This window comes from Homo sapiens, chromosome 4 (assembly GCF_000001405.40).
Source record: "Homo sapiens chromosome 4, GRCh38.p14 Primary Assembly".
Lineage (NCBI taxonomy): Eukaryota > Metazoa > Chordata > Mammalia > Primates > Hominidae > Homo > Homo sapiens.
Genome location: NC_000004.12, coordinates 8,949,068 through 8,969,091, shown reverse-complemented (window position 1 = coordinate 8,969,091; position 20,024 = coordinate 8,949,068). Strand labels below are relative to the sequence as shown.

Sequence of the window (20,024 nt, the reverse complement as noted above, 5' to 3'; positions counted from 1 at the left end):
CAAGCTGCCATCGGGGACCACTCTCGGCTTCCAGGGGCCCCCTTGTAGGTGGCACCATGGCCACTTGCCCTACTCCAAGCCTGCAGAAGAGCGCCTCTCTGCCATGTCCCTTTCTTTTAAAAGACTTGCCTGACTGGTTCAGGTCCATTAGGTATCGTCCCATTTGATTAGCTCAAAAGTACTGTAGCCCATCACATTCACTCACAGGAGGGCATTAGCGGGGTGTGGACACCAGGGAGTGAGAATCTCTCAGGCCAGTTTAGCATTCAGTTGGTTGGCCAGGTTCAGTGGCTCACGCCTGTAATCCCAGCACTTTGGGAGGCCGAGGCGGGCAGATCACCTGAGGCCAGGAGTTCGAGACCAGCCTGGCCAACATGCTGAAACCCAGTCTCTACTAAAAATACAAAAATTAGCCAGGCGTGGTGGTAGGCGCCTGTAATCTCAGCTACTTGGAAGCCTGAGGTAGGAGAATCGCTTGAACCTGGGAGGTGGAGGTTGCAGTGAGCCGAGATCGTGCCATTGCACTCCAGCCTGGGCGATACAGCGAGTCTCAAAAATAAATAAATGCGAAGGCTGCTGAGCGCAGTGGCTCATGCTTATAATCCTGGCACTTTGGGAGGCCGAGGCAGAAAGACTGCTTAAGGCCAGGAGTTTCAGCCTAGAATGGACAGTACAGTGCAACTCTATCTCTAAGTAAAATAAAATAAAATAAAATAAAATAAAATAAAATAAAATAAAATAAAATAAAATAAGTAAAATAAGAATTCAGTTGGTTAAAAGAAACTCACTAGGTCCAGCCCACAATCAAGGGATGGAAATTACACAAAGCTGTGAAGAGTCAAGGGTGGGAGATCGCTGGCAGCCCTTATAGAAGCTACCTATCTCACATACCTGTTGGACAGCTTCTCTCTCCTAGCTGGGGGTATTTGGAGCGGGTGTCGAATCCTGCTCTTTTGTATTTCTGTTGCCTTTTCTGGCGGTGACGTGTTTCCTGTGCGTTCTGTAATTTTGGATCGTGAGCTCAGCTTCAGAGGGGCTTTATGTGGGGAATCCTGGGTGGCCAGGTTTGAGGGAGCCACCTAGAGAGGTTTTCTATTTGGCCTTTCCAGGAGCCCCAGGGTACCACTAAGCCAAGGCAACTTTTTTTTTTTGAGACAGAGTTTCACTCTTGTTGCCCAGGCTGGAGTGCAGTGGCGCAATCTCAGCTCACTGCAACCTCTGCCTCCCAGGTTCAAGCTATTCTCCTGCCTCAGCCTCCCGAGAAGCTGGGATTACACGCACACGAGGCGTGGCTAATTTTTTGTATTTTTAGTGGAGACGGGGTTTCACCGTGTTGGCCAGGCTGGTCTCGAACTCCTGACCTCAGGTGATTCACCTGCCTCAGCTTCCCGAAGACCTGGGATTACAGGCGTGAGCCACCACGCCCGGCCCAAAGCAACTTTTTAGTGTTAATTTCTCAACTCTTGCATTCCTAGACCACACAGGTAGCATGACTTCATTGTAGGAGTTCCACATTTACATAAGAGAGGCCTGAAAACGCAACGATCTCATGGGAAACTTGTTCAACACCTAAAGCTCAAATTTTCTCACCTCTCTCTGTTCCCCTGGGTGGAAATGTTTCTGTTCCTTTCTCTAAAGGTGTTGCATTTCTGTGGCCCCAACTTCATCATGCTTGACTGTAACCCTGACCCCCTGCCTTGTAAGGACTTCCAACGCTCAACCCAGCCCTGCCCTCAGGCAGTTGCAGCACCAGCTCCTCTGTCCCCACCTTGGTTCTCACTCCCGTCTTCACTTCTGGCCTTAGGGGACTTAACTTATTTTCTGAAGAACTCAGCTATATATTTATTTTATTTTATTTTATTTTATTTATATATTTTTTGAGATGGAGTTTCGCTCTTTTGCCCAGGCTGGAGTGTAATGGCGTGATCTTGGCTCACTGCAACTTCTGCCTTCCGGGTTTAAGCGATTCTTCTGCTTCAGCCTCCTAAGTAGCTGAGACTACAAGCCCCTGCCACCACTCCTGGCTGATTTTTGTATTTTTAGTAGAGATGGGGTTTCACCGTTGGCCAGGCTGGTCTCGAACTCCTGGCCTCAGGTGATCCGCCCACCTCAGCCTCCCAATGTTGTGGAATTACAGGCGTGAACTACCATGCCCGGCCTCAGCTCTATAGTTAAAAGGACATTTGTTTCTTACCCAGCATTCCTAGGTGTTTTGAAGAGGGAGACTTCTCAGGTTATCTAACCTGCTACTGAGAACTTAAAGATAGGGAAAATCTTGGACTGGAGATTCTTGGAATCACATAATTGAAAAATCCCAGCCGGGTGTGATGGCTCACGTCTGTAATCCCAGCACTTTGGGATGCCGAGGCAGGTGGATCACCTGAGGTCAGGAGTTTGAGACCAGCTTGGCCAACATGGTGAAACTTCGTCTCTGCTGAAAATACAAAAAAATTAGCCTGGCTTGGTGGTGGGCGCCTGTAATCCCCGCTACTCGGGAGGCTGAGGTAGGAGAATCGCTTGAACCCAGGAGACGGAGGTTGCAGTGAGCTGAGATCACGCCATTGCACTCCAGCTTAGGCAACAAGAATGAAACTCCTTTGCAAAAAAAAAAAAAAGAAAGAAAAAGAAAAGAAAAAGAAAAATCCCCACAGTGCACATGGCCAAAATCAGAGGTGCTTTAGGAGCGAGGGTGCAATCAGACACGGAGGCCATTACACAAGCTTCTCGTCCACTCAGGGGTCCAGAACCTCCACCCAGTCACCTTATCTGGGGTTGATGGAGACAGGGGAGGTGCCACCTACGCCAGTGTCATCTCTTGCAATGAGCTCTTCTCCTGCTCGAAAAGAGCCAGCCTGCTGAGCTTGCTGCCAGGGCCCGTCGCACTGCCTGCGCTGTGTTTCCCATCGCACAGCCTGTGATGTGTGTTTCACGTCGCACGGCCTGTGATATGTGTTTCCCATCATGTGTGCACGTGTGTTGTCATGTAGTGTCTGTCACAGGTGTTACCCGTCACGTGTGTTTGCATGTTGCATGTGTGTGGCCTATCAGGTGTACGTGTGTTGTCTGGCACATGTCAGCATCTGGGCATTCTCCGTGTGCCAGGAGCAGCCAGGTGGCCTGTGAAGCCTTCTCATGGGAAATGCCCATATAGGAAGAGCACAGCCAGGAGCCACGCCCCTGAGTGGCCACTCCATGTGCCTGGATCACCTTCAAGTCTGCTCAACATCAGAGCCTCTGTTCCTTGGCATCATGGACATTGGAATTGACTCGAAACTGGGAAGAGCTGTAGGCCCACTATCCAGGCACCCGCTGCCCGTTTGCCCAGCATCCCAGGGGCCCACACCCTTCCAAATATCACCTTGCCCTCCATTCAGAGGTGAATCATCTGAGCGTCAGGTTGCCCAACTCCGACTGGTTTTGCTGGAGGCTGCCTGGAGGATGTCGACAGCCAGCCACCTCCAGAGAACACTCAGTCTACAGATGCCGAGGGGGAACTGGAAGCACACAGCGCTGGCCTTCACCCAGCTTACAGTGGCACCTTGGGACCGCTTCTGAGTCTGCTTTTCACTGAAGTTCGGCGTGAGGAAGGCAGCGTTCCCTCCCAGATTTAGAAAATGTCAAGTCTCCCGCCGCACCCTTTTGTGTTTCTTACAGGACCTGGGGCACTTGCTGCCGCCACACTAAGGGCTCCAACATGTTCCCTCACACACTCAACAGAGAAGGAACCTGTGGCTTACATGGGAGACTCCCTGTCCAAGGCCACAGAGTCTGGCCCCAGGGACCACTAGAGGCTTCAAAAACCAAACTCACATGAGGGCAGAGAGGAGAGATGGGGCCAGTTTAGGGCTGGGAGAATCCATAGAGCGATGCTGAGGCAGACATGGAGCCTGGAGGTACGGACGAGGGTCTCGCCAAAATCAGGGGTGGAGAGGCTGTGGGGAGTGAGGAATGGTGTGGGCCAGCCCCGGGCCTGCTGGGGTGCAGCTGGGGGCTCCATGGCCCTCCCACGGCCCCTACTTGTCCTCACCCAACCGTTCAGAGCTCTTCATGGCGGGGTTGTCCCTCTCCTGTGCCCACAAGAGGAGTGGGTGGAGGAACGGCAACTTCAGGCCTTGTAGGGGGTCTGCCCCTCCACCAGCCTGTTTCTCGTGGGCATCGCAGCTGAGGCTGTAGCCGGGAAAGGGTAGTAACCGAGCGTACCTGGCCTCCAACCACCACTTCCAAGGCCCCTACTGGGCACAGGGTGACCCCACCGTGGCTCGGAAGTGGACCCTGTCCGACGCGGGGATGGTCGCTGGAGGGCCGAGGATGCCTACACAGGCCCCTGGAGGGTGTGCCTCGGGAGTCTGTCTTGCCCTCTGGACCCATGGGGGACCAGCAACGCCGTCACACCCTCCTCTGTATCTGCCAGCCGCTCCGCCACTCCCTTCTCCTGGCTGGGGCTGGCAAAGGCAGGCAGATATGGGGGGCGGGGCCTCAGGAGGGAGGAAGGGCTGGTGGGCGGGGCCTACGGACACCTCGCCCCGCCCCCAGTGGGGCTCCGCACTCCCCACACCCCGTGGTCCCCCTAGGTCAGGGCCTCCCACCACCGCGCCCAGACGCCGGGCCAGCCGGGTGTGTACCCCAGGGGCGCTCCATCCCCGGCGGCCTGGGACTCCCCAGTCAGGACAGTACAAAATCTCTTTATTGCTCATTTTCTGTAAAAAATCGTGGCTCTCGGAGGACCCTGGAGATAGGAGGTGCAAAGCGCGCTCACACGCGGCCCGGGTCCGCGGCCGAGAGCTGGGGGGATCTGGAGCGGGGCCGGGTCGCAAGAAGACCCTGACCCTGCTCCGGGGCTGGGGCGCGTGCTAGGGGCCCGCGGGGTTTCAGCTGTATTTTCGAACCCCTGTGCTTGGCCGAGGGGTTCCCAAGGCTCCACTCCGCCTTGGAGGGGGGCTGCGGAAGCCCGGAGGTGACACGGGCTCTGGAAGGGGCGTCCCCAACGTGGGGGAGGGGTGACAGGGGCCTTTGAAGACAGCGCGGGACTAGGAGGGGGTGCCCCCGACCTAAGACGTGGTAAACTGAGGCCGGCGAGGAGGGAGGCTGAGTCCGGGGACCAGGCGGCCCCTCACTGCTCCTCCGGCCCGTCGCCCCCCTGCGCCTGTTCGTACGGGCAGGGCCGGCGGCCGAGTCCAGCGGGCTCGGGGCCAGGCCTGGGCCCCGCGGGCGGCGCCTCCTCCTCCGCGGCGTCCCCATGCTCGCCTTCCGCGTCTCTCTCGTCCGAGTTGTCCTCCTCCAAGTAGAAGTAACCTCGCACCTTGTGCTGGGGCCGCGGGATGCAGGGCTGGCGCGGGGCCATGCCCCGCCGCAGCTTCTGCTCCATCCGCAGGTAGGAGACCGCGGCGGCCACCAGCGTCACCAGCAGCACCGCCAGCTTAGCCTGGGCGTAAGGAGAGGGATGCCAGGGACCCGCGGCCGCCTTGCCCCGCACCTTCCTCGCCTATGCCCCTCTCTGAGATAGGCCCTTCCCTCCTCCGGGAGCCTCCCGGGCCACGCGACCCTCAACTTCTCCAGCCGCTCCACCCACGCTTCCTGGACCGCCTCCTGCAGGCGAGGCTCACATCCAGCACTGTCCCTTACAGTCGCCATGCCCCTGGCGACCTCAGTGTCCCACGCTGTAAGGGGACAATGCAAATCCCTTTGCCTCATAGGGTGCATGTGCCAGTGTTGATAAAGTGCTGGCCACAGGCCCTGCCTTCCCAGGGCTCACAACACTGTGTCCCTGACACACCCGTGGGCTGCAGTGATGCTCTTCATGGGGATTTGACTATAACCCGCAGTCAGGAATGATTTCACACCATAGCTCAGCACACACACACACCTCTGTATGCATACTTCCTGCTCTTTTCTTTTTTCCAGACACGGTCGCTCCGTTTCCCCACCGCGCCCCCTCCCTCCCTTCCCCCACCCACTGCTGGAGCGCAGTGGCACGCTCACTTCAGCCTCAATCTTCCAGGCTCAAGCCATCCTCCCACCTCAGTCTCCCAAGCAGCTGGAACTACAGGCACGCGCCATCACGCCCAGCTAATTTTTAAATTTCTTGTAGAGACAGGGTCTCCTATGTTGCCCAGGCTGGTCTTGAACTCCTGGCCTCAAGCAATCCTCCCGCCTCAGCCTCCCAAAGTGTTGGGATTACAGGCGTGAGCCACCATGCCCAGCCCACTCACTGCTTTTCTTTTTTCTTTTTTTCCTTTTTTTTTGGGAGACAGAGTCTCGCTCTGTCCTCCAGGCTGAAGTGCGGTGGCGCAATCTTGGCTCACTGCAACCTCCATCTCCCAGGTTCAGGCCATTCTTGTGCCTCAGCCTCCAGAGTAGCTGGGATCACAGGGACGTGCCACCATGCCCAACTAATTTTTGTGTTTTTAGTAGAGACAGGGTTTCACAGCCTGTTACACAGGCCGGTCTCGAACTCCAGATCTCAGGTGATACCCCCACCTCAGCGTCTCAAAATGCTGGGATTATAGGCATGAGCCACTGCTCCCAGCCCACTCCCTGCTATTTTTAGTTCTATTTTTATTTTTATTTTTATTTTTATTTTTATTTTGAGATGGATTTTCGCTCTTGTTGCTTAGGCTGGATGGAGTGCCAAGGCCCCGTCTCGGCTAACTGCAACCTCCGCCTCCCAGTTCAAGCGATTCTCCTGCCTCAGCCTCCTGAGTAGCTGTGATTACAGCCACCTGCCACCACGCCCAGCTAATTTTTGTATTTTTAGAAGAGACGAGGTTTCACCATGTCGGTCAGGCTGGTTTCAAACTCCCTACCTCAGGCAATCTACTTGCCTCGGCCTCCCAAAGTGCTGGGATTACAGGCGTGAGCCACCGTGCCCGGCCTTTAGTTCTATTTTTAAAAAATGTTTAGCAACTGGGACTTGCTAGACCGAGCCACCATCTTTTGGGAGCAGAGCATGAGAAGCCTGCTCCCGTTCAGGACATGAAGGGAGACAGACGCAACATCTGGACAACAGGGTACCAAACAGCCCACAGGATGGCTGTGATGCACCCACAAATCCCCTCAGAGGTGGGCAAACTGAGACTGGCTGGAGGTGGGCCAGTAAGTGGGGTGCTGAGTTGGGGGCCACCCAGTGGGCTGCAGGAATGGGGCCTTGGCCCAGAGACTGGCTTGGGAAGGGGTGGCGTTTAGGAAGCTGTGAAGCCAGGGCAGGGGCTAAGGAAATACCTGTCATTGGGCATGGGGCCCCCAACCCTGCCCAGTCTCACCTTCATGTGCAGGCTCGAGCCCAGGTACACGGTGAAGATGGCCACAGCCTGCCACCAGTGGTAGATGGTGAAGATGAAGTCCTGTCTCTCCTTGTCTTCGTACAAGATTCCCAGGAGTGCTGCAGGCAGGCAGTACAGGGCAGTCAGGGGAGAGGTGTCACCTGGGGCCTGGGGCTGCCTAGCTACCATCTACGAACTTTACTAAGCCCTGTATGTGTCCCAGCCCGGGACCAGAGAGCGCCTAGAAAGTGCTGTAAGCTGGTCCTGGCCTGCCCCCTGGTGGAGACCCTGGTCACCACGCTGCTCACACGCTAAGCAGAAGTAGGAGCAGGTGTGCCGGGTTGTGTGGATGCAGGTGGTCCCGCTCCGCACCACATGCGTGGCCTCAAAAGAAGAAAGCTCTGTGCTTAGTCATGTCCTGTCCCCAACCCCAGGTGTGCAGTACCAAGCTTGCAGGCGCTGTTTCTCTTTCTCAGCCTGGACTAGAGAGATCGAACTGTTTGCAGCTGCCAACTCTGCAAATCAAACCTGAAGCTAAGCATGGAGAGGGGGCTTCCTTTCCAGTGAGTCCTCCCAGGGTGGGCAACAAGAGTAATGCATTGGGAGTCAGAAGATGCACACTCGTTCTCAGGACTGTAACGTTGGCTCTGTGGGTGATTTGGGTACTTAACTCCCCAGAGCTGCTTTTCCCAATGGTGAGATGAGCCTATGCCTATTGTGTGCTGTGTTCTGAAGTTCTAAAGTGAGAAAGTGGGCATGGCACCTGCCAAATCATAGGGGCCACTATTAACACCTTCACCAGGCACTCAGGACATGAACACTCCTGTCTTGGGGCCCTGCAGGGTGACTTTACCCCCACAGTGCTGCTATGAAGAGACAAGGATCCCCCAGGGTTCACCGGAGGAGATGGGATATGGAGCTGGGCAGAGGGGATGCCATGACCAGACAGGGCACAACATGGGTCCAAGATACCCAGGATGGACTCTGCCCAGAATTGACTATCCTTGGGCAAAACGGCCAAGAGACTGTGGTGCAGTATGAGGCTCCAGCCCCTGCTACAGACAGAGACACCGAGCCACCCTCTGCCCTGCCAGGAGCAGGCATGACCTCTGCCACTCCACACCCCCAAGGATGACGTTCAAAACTGTTCTTAGTTTCGGCCCATCAGAACAGACACTGACATGGATGCCCTGCAGGACTGTGCCCATGTGTGCTAGCTGTGTGTCACTGCATGTGCCCATCTGTGGGCAGGGAGCATCCTGGAGCTGAACATGGGCCCACCCGCTGCCTTCTGCAAACAGGGCCCTGTTCCCCAGCAGCCCAGACCTGGGGCCTGGACTCTGGTACTGAGCAGACTGGGTTGGGGCTGCAGGCCTGCTCCTCTCTATACAAAGGCCCATGTCTGTATCTATGCCGTGGATGTACAACAGGCCACTTGCTCCTACCACATGCTCTGTGAGGCAGAGACCAAAACATCTGCTCCAAGTGTCATGAAAAATATGCCAGGGTAAGCCCTGTCCCCTGGTATGAAAAGGAAGAATCCCTGATGTGTTTTTCATACCGTCCCTAAGGGGTGTCCACAGAGCCCCACACCTGCCCCCTGTAGCCACGAGATTTCACACTGATGCTCCAGTGTTGATGGGGCCCTGTGCCCACCATGGGGTATTAATGGAATGTCCATGGCGTGGAACCCCCACACCTGTCTCCAGGGTGTCCACGCCCTACCCATCTGCCCCCAGTGTGTCCATGAGACTTCCCTTCCACCCCTGGAGTGTCCACAGGAAGACCCACTGGACTCTGTCATGTCCACAGGATGCTATGTGACCATGGGACCCCATATCTGTCCCTGGGATGTCTATGTCTAGCCAACCACCCACAGATAGCCATAAAGCCCCCTGCCCTGCCCTCCCAGTGCCCACAGCTATACTCACTGCTGAGTCCAGTTTTGTTCAGGGTGCTGCCCACACCCCAAAGGGCGGCTGCCACACAGAGGATCCAGCTGTGTTGAAGGACCCAAGGCACAGGGGCCCAGAAAAAGAGGATGAAGGTGAGCAGCAGGTGCACCCCTGCTCCAGCCACGAGGGAAACCGGGCGTGACAGCCACAAGCCCAGCAGGCCCAGTAGTGAGGCGACTGAGGCGTCCAGGCTGTAAGCCACAAGGAGGTAAGCCAGCCGCTCCAGCCCCGCCGAGCACACACCATAGCCCTGCGTGGGGACAAGGGGTGAGTGTTGAAGTCCGGAACAGCCCAGACCCCAGTCTCAGCCCTCCCCGCATCGCGGGGGGTGCCTCACCCCCCTGCGATGGGTGTCCTAAGAGCCATGGGGGGTGAGGGGCTGGCTTGTACTCCCCGCATCGCGGGGGGTGCCTCACCCCCCTGCGATGTGTGTCCTAAGAGCCATGGGGGGTGAGGGGCTGGCTTGTACTCCCCGCATCGCGGGGGGTGAATCACCCCCCTGCGATGTGGGTCCTAAGAGCCAGGGAGGGAAAGAGGGGCTGGCTCTTACTCCCCGCATTGCGGGGGTGCCTCACCCCACTGCGATGGGGGTCCTAAGAGCCAGTGGGGGAAGAGGGACTGTCTCTTACTCCCCGCATGGCGGGGGGTGCCTCAGCCCCCTGGGATGGGGGTCCTAAGAGCTAGGAGGGGAAGAGGGGCTGGCTCTTACTCCCCGCATCGCGAGGGATGCCTCACTCCCCTGCGATGGAAGTCCTAAGAGCCAGGGTGGGAAGAGGGGCTGGCTCTTACTCCTCGCATCACGGGAGGTGTGTACAACCCCTGCGATATTGGCAGTAATATCATCCTCTCCCCCTGAACCTGAGAAATAATATCTCAGGAGCATGTAAGCCCCCTGCGATATTGGAAGTAACATCATTTTCTCCCCCTCCAGATATTCGGAAAAATATCACAGTGGGTGTGTACAGCCCTTGCGACATTGCCGCTAGTATCTTCCTCTCCCTCCCAGGATAGAAGGAACAATGTCACAAGGGGGTGTACACCCCCTGCGATACTCGTGGTGATATCTTCCTCTCCCCCGCTGCCTATTAGGAACAATGTCACACAAGGGGTGTACACCTCCTGCTATAATGGGAGTGATATCATCCTCTCTGTCCCTGGATATTAGGAACAATAACCCTAGGGATTGTACACCTCCTGCAATATTCAGACTAATATCATCCTCTCGCCCCCCGGATATTAGGATCAATATCACAGGAGTGGTGTGCACCCCCGGCGAAATTGGAAGAAATATCATCCTCTCCACCTTTGGATGTTCGGAACAGTATCACAGGAGATGTCTCCGCCCACTGCGATTTTGGGAGTCGTAACATCCTCTCCCACCCAGGATATTAGGAACAACATAATCGAAGGGATGTACACCCACTGCGATATTTTCCATAATGTCATCCTCTACCCCCTGGCTATTAGGAGTAACATCATAGAGGGTTGTACACTTTCTGCGATATTGGGAGTCATATCCTCTCCCCCACGGATATCGGGAACAGTTTTATTAATTATTAATATTAATAAATATAATAACAATTAACAGTAATCATTGATATTAATAACTACAGTGGAGACAGTAAAACTTAATGTGGATTAAAAATATTCATGATTACAATTAATAATAGCAATATCAATATTAATAGTAAAATAATAATATCAGTAATTAATGTTACTTAAATCCATCATAAGTGATGTTGGTAATAAAACAATGATTAATGTTAATATTAATAACTAATATTATTAAAAATGGCATTAATAGTAAGAATTAATTTTAATCATGCATAATCATATCTTTAAAATAATCATTAATGACTAATAAAGTTATACTATTAATTAATATTACCATTTATAATCATTAATGAGACTGATGTTTAATAATTCATAATATTATTACTCCTAATACCGCAGGGGGTGTACACCTACCTGTGATATTGTTCCTAATATCCAGGGATGGAGAACTTGATATTAGTTTTAATATCGCAGTAGGTGTACACTCACCCTGTGACACTGATCCTAATATCCAGCGGGTGGAGTATGACATGACTGCCAACATAGCAATGAATGTACAGCCACCCGGTGATATTGCTCCTAATATTCAGGGAAGAAGCGTATATTACTCCCAATATCGCAGGGAGTGTACACCTCTTCTGTGATATTGTTCCTAGTATCCCGAAGAGGAGAGGGTGACAATAATTCCAGCATCATAGGCTGTGTTCACCCAGCCTGTGATATTGTTATTAATATCCTGAAAGGGAGAGGATGATATTACTCCCCATAATAGATAGATATGCCTCCCCATAATAGAGCAGGAGGTGTACACCCACCCTGTGATATTCTTCCTCATATTAAGAGGCCGAGAGGTTGATATTACTTCCAATATCGCAGGAAGTGTACACCCCCGTGTGAGATGGTCCTTCGTAATATTCCAAGGCGGAGGGGTTGATATGACTACATATATGGCAGAAAGTGTACACCCCCCAGGTATATTGTTCCCATGATCCTGGAGGGAAGAGGATGATCTTACTTTAAATATAACAGAAGGTGGACATGCCCCCAATGATATTGTCTCTAATTGCAACGTGGGAGAGAAGGATATGACACCCAGTACCGCAGGGAGTAGAAACACCCCTGTGTTACTGTTCTTAATATTCAGGGAGGACGAGGATGATATTGTTCCCAATACAGACGGTGTACACCCGTCTGTGAAATAGTTCATAATTTCCAGAGGGGAGATGATATTACTCACAATGTGGTAAACAGACTGTGAGTCCACTGCGGATCCTAAAAACCCAGAGGGGGAAGAGGGGCTGGCTCTTACTCCCCGCATCGCGGGGGGTGCCTAACCCCCCCTGCGATGGGGGTCCTAAGAGCCGGGGGGGGATGAGGGGCTGGCTCTTACTCCCCGCATCGCGGGGGGTGCCTCACCCCCCTGCGATGGGGGTCCTAAAATCCAGGGTGGGAAGAGGGGCTGGCTCTCACTATTCCTGAGGGAATAGTTTAGAGGGACTCATTCCCTGCTATCGTGGGTGAGATATCTATGAAAAGGACAACCAGTGGGGGAGGGTAGCAAAATTTTGAAGTAGATTTCTGAGACCCCAGCACAATCAAGAACAGAAACTCCACACTCTGCTGAGCGGATAGTTTGCACATTGGTCTCCTCCCATCTGCCCAGCTCACTCTGCTGTCTGTCCTGAGGAGGAAACAAAACAAGGTTCCTGACCGTCCCTCAGCACTCACTTGAAGGGGGGGCCCGTCCCTCCACACCTGTGCGTATTTCTAGTCGGGTGGGATGAGAGACTGAGAAAAGAAATAAGACACAGAGACAAAGTATGGAGAAACAACAGTGAGCCTAGAGGACCGGCGCTCAGCATACCAAGGAGCTGCACTGACACAAGCCTCTGAGTTCCCTCGGTTTTTATTGGTTATTATTTTTATTATTTCAGCAAAAAGGAATGTAGTAGGAGGGCAGGGTGATAATAAGGAGAAGGTCAGCAACGAACATGTGAGCAATAGAATCTATGTCATAATGAAGTTCACGGGAAGGTACTATGACTGGACTCGTACGCAAGCCAGATTGATGTTTCTCTCCACCCAAACATCTCAGTGGAGTAAAGAATAACAAGACAGCATTGCTGAAAACGTGTCTCACCTCCCACAATAGGGCGGTTTTACCCCCATCTCAGAATTGAACAAATGTACAATCGGGTGTTATACCAAGACATTCAGTTCCCATGGGCAGGCAGGAGACAGTGGCCTTCCTCTCTCTCAACTGCAAGAGGCTTTCCTCTTTGACTAATCCATCTCAGCCAGACCCTTTACTGGTGTCGGGCTCGGGGACGGTCAGGTCTTTCTTCTCCCACGAGGCCACTTCTCAGACTATCACATGGGGAGAAACCTTGGACAATACTCCGCTTTCAAGGGCAGGGCTCCCTGTGGCTTTCCACAGTGTATTGTGCCCCTGGTTTATTGAGACTAGAGAATGGCGATGACTTTTACCAAGTATACTGCTTGGAAACATCTTGTTAACAAGGCACGTCCTGCACAGCACTAGATCCCTTAAACCTTGATTTTATACAACACATGTTTTTGTGAGCTTCAGGTTGGGTCAAAGTGGCTGGGGCAAAGCTACACATTAACAACATCTCAGCAAAGCAATTGTTGAAAGTATAGGTCTTTCTCAAAATGGAGTCTCTTATGTCTTTCCTTTCTACATAGACACAGTAAGAGTCTGATCTCTCTCTCTTTTGCCTACACTCACTGAACTGCCCTTCCCATCTGCTGGGCCATGACCACGGAGAACATGTCCACTGTCTTCCCTTTGTGGTGCACCATGGAGGCTCAGGCTCCGTCCTCAAGGCTGGCAAGAAGACAGGGTGAGACATGAGCCTCCTGATACAGGTGACGGGAGTGGAGCCCACAGGACTGCAACCTCACACTGCAGGGCTGGAGGCACAGACTGACTATTTACTATTCTGTGGCCTGGGGGGCTCAAGGCACAGAGCTCCTTATTAGCCAAAGTCACCCAAGTTCCCCAACCTCTAAGGATTTCCTCATAATAATGCAAGAAGTAGAAGAGAAAAGTGAGTGTCCATAGAAGTTTTGGGGCTCTTCCTCTAATCAGGAGAAAGCTGGTGTGTATTCTTCACTTCTTTCTTTTCTTTTTAAACATCCAACTGCTTTAATTTTCATCTTTTATTATGGGAAAATATACCACGTATAAATATGAAAAATTATAAATATATATTAGTTCATATAGAATGGCCAGTATAAACATTTACTGTTTCCACGCTTTTTCAGTTTACAGTTTCATGACATTAAGTACGTTCACATTGTTTAGCAACCATCACCGTCATCGTCTCTGGAACAGTTTTATCTTTCAAAATGGAAATTGCACCCTTTCACCAAGCTCTCCACTCCTCTCTCTCGCCCGCCCCTGGGGGCCACCTTTCTAGTTTGCAACTCTATGAGTTTAACTACTCTAGACACTTGATAGATAAGTGGAATCATACCGTGTTTAATTTTCTTGTTTTGGAAACAGAGTCTTTCTCTGTCACCCCGGCTGGAGTGTAGTGACGTGATGTCGCCTCACTGCAACCTCCACATTGTGGGTTCAAGCGATTCCTGTGTCTCAGTCTCCCGAGTAGCTGGGATTACAGGCGTGCGTCACCACGCCCAGATAATTTTTGTATTTTTAATAGAGACCATATTGGCCAGGCTTGTCTCGAAATCCTGACCTGAAGTGATCCGCCTGGCTCAGCCTCCCCAAGTGCTGGGGCTACAGGTGCGAGCCACCGAGCCTGGGCGTGTTTATCCTTTTGGGATTTATTTATTTCAGTGACGATAATGTTTTCAAGGTTCATCCATGTTGCAGCCTGCGTCAGAAGTGCCTCTCTGTTGTTTTTTTGTTTGTTTGTTTTTTGGTTTTGTTTGTTCGTTTGACTTTGTTTTGTTTTGTGTTTCCATGGAGTCTCACTCTGTCGCACAGGCTGGAGTGCAGCGCCACAATCTGGGCTCACTGCAACCTCCGCCTCCCGGGTTCCAGCCATTCTTGTGCCTCAGCCTCCTGAGTACTTGGAACTATAGGCACACGACACCGCGCTCCTCTCATTTTTTGCATTTTCAGTAGAGACAGGGTTTCACAAAGATGGCCAGGCTGGTCTTGAATTCCTGACCTCAGGTGATCCGCCCACCTCGGTCTTCCAAGACGCTACGATTACAGGCGTGAGCCACCGCACCGGCCAGAAGTGCCTGCCTTTTGAAGGCTGAATAGTCTTCCACTGTATGAAGGAACTGCAGTGTGCTTTTTCATTCATCTGTCCACGAACCCTTGGTTTGCTTCCACATTTTGGCTGTTGTGAATAATGCTGCTATGAATATGGGTGTACACAAGTCTCTCTTCCTCTCCTGGCTTCTAATTCTTTTTGGTAGGTACCCACAAATGCAACTGCGGGAACATCTGATCATTCTGTTTCTAATTTTTTCAGTACACGCCATACTATTTTCCCCATTCCTTCACGGTTTTACATTCCCTCCGATCATATTCGAGCATTGCTACTTCCCTCTAGTCTCACCAATGCCTGTTTGTTTATCATATCCATCCTAATGTGTGGTATCACATTCTTGGTTTGATTTGTGCTTCCCTATGATGAGTGATTTTGAACATCATTTTAGATGCTTATTGGCCATTGCTATATCTTCTTTAGGAACATGTCTACTCGAGTCTTCTGACCATTGTTGATGGGATGCTTTGGGTTTCTTGTTGTTTAGTTCTAGCTGTTCTTTATATATGATGGCTATCAGCCTCTTTTCAGATATATGCTTTCCAAATATTTTTCCTAATCCATGGGTTATCTTTTCACTCAGTTCGCAGTGTTTTTTGCTGCACAAAAGTATCTGTCATTTAGATGTAATCCAAGGAATCTAATTTTCTTTTGTTGCCTATGCTTTTGGTGTCATATCCCAGAGAACATTGTCCAATCTGATGTCATGAAAGTAGGGCCAATGTTTTCTTTTAGGCGTATGATACTTTTAGCACTTGGGGTGAGGTCTTTGATCCAGTTTGTGTTAATTTTTGCACCTGGTGTGACATAGGGTCCACCTTCATTCTTCTGCATGTGGAAATCAAGTTTCTCCAACACCATTTCTTGAAAAGGCTGCTTTTCCACCAATGAGCTTTCTTAGCACTCGTGAAAAATCATTTGAACATATAGGTGAGAAGTTATTTCTGGTCTCCAAAACAAACAAACAACAACAGACAACAGATAAGGATACAGCATGGGCCGGGCGGAGTCGCTCACGCCTGTAATCCCAGCCCTCTGGGAGTCCAAGGCTTGCGGATCACCTGAGGTCAGGAGTTGAAGACCAGCCTGACCGACAGGGAGAAACCCCAGTCTCTTCTAGAAATACAACATTAGCTGGGCGTGCTGACGCATGCCTGTAATCCCAGCTACTCGGGAGGTGGAGGCAGGAGAATCGCTTGAACCCAGGAGGCAGAGGTTGCGGTGAGTAAAGTTTGCACCATGACACTCCAGCCTGGGCAACAAGAGTGAAACTCCATCTCAAAACAAACAAACAAAAAAAAAACCAGCATGATTTCAAGAACAGAAAGAGAATAGCTTAAAAACCAGCATAATGAGAAAGTTAGGAAGCTTCTTACCAAAGCATCTGGAAATATGCAAGCAATTCTGGTGAACTAAAATTTTCATACTGTACTATCAAATACTAGAACTCACTTATTCTATCTTTCTGTATTTTGGGACCCAATTATCCACTTGTCTTCATTCCCTATGCCACCTGTTTTCTTCCTAGCGTCTGCTAACCACCTTTATACTTTCCACCTTCCTGAGATTCCTTTTGTGTGTAGGTGTGTGATGGAGTCTCTTTCTGTTGCCCAGGTTGGAGTACGCAGGCACAATCCGGGTTCACTGCAAGCTCCGCCCCCCGAGTTCAAGTGCTTCTTGGGCCTCAGCCCTCCGAGTAGCTGAGACTACAGGCACGCGTCACCACGCCTGACTCATTGTTTGTGTTTTCCGTAGAGACGGGGTTTCACCATGTTGGCCAGGCGGGTCTCAAACTCCTGGACTCAAGTGATCTGTGCGACTCGGCCTTCCAGAGTGCTGGGATGACAGGCCTGAGCCACCACACCTGGCCAAGGTTTCCTTCTTTCTTCCTACATAGAAGTGAGGACATGAAATATTTGTCATTCTCTGCCTGGCTTATTTCATTTAATATAAAGACCTGCAATCTCATCCATTTTGTCTGTAGCGGAGAGGAGTTTCTTCCTTTTTAGGCTGAATAATACTTCACTGGGTGTGTATACCACAGTTTCTTCATTGAAACAAATTTCTGAAGAGCAAATAATTTTAAAATGTCTCGGAATATGAAACTTCAGGGATACTGTGCCCATTTTATTCTTTTCTATTTCCCATCTTATGTATATGCAAGTGTATAATAAAGTAGCAACCAATGTGTGTATAAATCTATAACTTGAAGAAAGGTAAAATGTAAATGCTAAGTGGTGGCTGGGCAAGGTCGCTCATGCCTGCAATCCCAGCACTTTGGGAGGCGGAAGCGGGCGGATCACCTGAGGTCGGGAGTTCAAGACCAGCCTGACCAAAATGGAGAAACACTGTCTCTATTAACAATACAAAAAAAAAAAAAATTAGTCAGACATGGTAGCGCATGCCTGTAATCCCAGCTACTTGGAAGGCTGAGACAGGAGAATTGCTTGAATATGGGAGGCAGAGGTTGCAGTGAGCCGAGACCGTGACATTGAACTCCAGCCTGGGCAACAAGAGTGAAACTCTGACTCAAAAAAAAAAAAAAAAAGGAAAAGAAAGAAATAGAAAATGCGAAATGGTAAGAAAAAACAGCATAATAAACATTTGTATGGTGTTGATGGACAATGCATTTGAAGATAATATTTGAAGAAATCATATTACAATTAATTTCTGTTCTTCCTCATTGGAGCTTGATGCCTCTAAAAACTTCGTCATTGGAACCACCTCTGGTGCTTTAAAAGAAAAAAAAAATCCACATACTCACACAGGTGCAAGGAAATCAGAATCTCAGGTATTGAGACCCAGGCCTCATCATTTGTAAGCTCCCCAGGTGATTTGACTCAAAGCCAAGATTGAGGAACGGCGACATGGATCTCTACACTTAACCTGCCTAAATAGATTCTCTAGAAGCAGTTCATAAAAAAACTCCACATGAACTGTGGAAGAGGATATGAATTTGATGTACAGTATGTCCTCACTTAACATCTTTGAAAGTCTCTTGGAAACTTCACCTTGAAGCAAAATTATGTACAGTGAAACCACCTATTTTTCATCAACAGTACAACTACACAACTTTGAACAACCAATTGTGTTGGAGGACCTCCTGTACATTGTTTCCATTAAGTCAGTTTTCAGGGAATTCCAAAACGAAGTGAGGACTTCGTGTATATAAAAAGATGGTTGTGATTCCACCTGGATGACAGGGTTATTGCTCAGAAACTAAAAGAGGCTGCCTAGGTATAGAGGATTCTGTCATGAGGTTTCTGCTAAACAAAGGGTCCCAGAATCCTCACCCATTCCAGTTCAAGGCATAATGAAGAAAGCAATATTCACAAAGGAAATGCGGAAAGGAATAAAAGCCATCAAGCCACAAAAAGAATGTGACTAAGGGGCAGGATTTGCAGATGTAGAGATTTACTGTGGTTGCCCTTTCTCATCCACACAAGAAAAAGGATGGAACAGATCATGAGATTCGACTGTTCTGCTGCGCAGCCTCCGCAAGGCACTTTGTATGTCCCTGTTTCTCAGGCTGTAGATGAAAAGGTTCAGCATGGGGGTGACCACAGCGTACATCATTGACGCCACTACACCATTCCTGGGAGGTGGTGACACAGCTGAAGTCAGGTACATCCCAATGTCTGTTCCATAAAATCAGCAAACAACTGCTAGGTGAGAGTCACAGGTGGAGAAGGCTTTATACTTCCCATCTGAAGATGAAATCCTGAGAATGGAGGTGACGATTTTATAGTAAGATAAAAGGATTGCTGAAATGGGAAGAAAAGCAAACATAGTACTATGGAAATATGTGAATATGCTATTGATGACGCTGTCAGAACAGGCAAGTTTGAGAAGTTGAGAGGGGTCACAGACAAAATTAGAGATTTCCACATTCTTGATGATTGTGAATTGTAACACAATCCAACTGTGCAGCTGGGAATCCAACAGGCTAAGGAAAAAGGACATCAAAATGAAGAAGACACAGAGGTGAGGATTCACGATGACTGGGTAATTCAGAGGGCGACAGATGGCTACAAAGCAGTCATAGGCCATCACAGTCAGGATCATGCCTTCTATACATGCAAAAAGGACCAAGAAAAACATCTGTGTCAGGCAGCCCTCATGAGAGATGACTCTGCTATGCGACTGCATGTCCACAATCATCTTGGGAACCATGGCCGAGGTGAAACCGATGTCAGCCCAGCACAGGTTGGAGAGGAAGAAGTACATGGGGGTGTGGAGGGGGGAGTCAGAGCTGACAGCCAGGATACTGAGGAGGTTCCTCAGCACCGTGACCAGATACATGGACAGGGACAGGGACAGCAAAGCGAGGACCGGCTGCAGTTCTGGATCCTCTGAGAGTCCCAGGAGGAGGAATTCTCAGACACCTGTGAGATTCCGTGGCTCTGTGTGTCTTGGACACCTTGAGAAGGAAAGAGGATTGGAAAAATAAAAGATAAAAACCAGCCGTTAATGCTAGATGCAAGCAATTCACAAGGAACGTCTTCACACTTGCGGACCATACGCCGCCAGCAATGTTTCTCAGTTGTGACAATTCCAACAATCTCAGAATTATTACGTGATTTACTTTTTTGCTATACAAGGCTTTCTGTACATACTATTTTAGAGAAAATCCACTGAAGAATATTAGAAGACCAAAACGTCATATATCACAAATCCGTGATCTCAGTAAAATACGGCCTACTCTTTTCAGAAAAAATGCAATGCAATGACAATGTCCTTCTCTCTTGAAGAAAAAGATCTCAGTCTAATTGAAAGAAATTAAGAAGCCATGAAATACACTCTACTTTATTCTGACACCGTGCTACAACTTCCATTGATGTAGAATATGTAAAAGGATGACACAAGAGCTAGGACCCCATTATCTGAAAATGAAATCGAACCTTATCGTTCTCAATCGGAAGAGCTTTTCACATGCCTGTTACTTTTCATATTTATTATCATCCTTCTGTTTTCTGACATCATTT

General features: G+C 50.2%; 2 pseudogenes; both read right to left on the bottom strand.

Annotated features, from left to right (window-relative positions):
• Window positions 1-5,090: 5,090 nt before the first annotated feature.
• On the bottom strand, window positions 5,091-9,465 carry UNC93B8 (unc-93 homolog B8 (pseudogene); annotated as a pseudogene).
• OR7E85BP (olfactory receptor family 7 subfamily E member 85B pseudogene) lies at window positions 18,472-19,488 on the bottom strand (annotated as a pseudogene).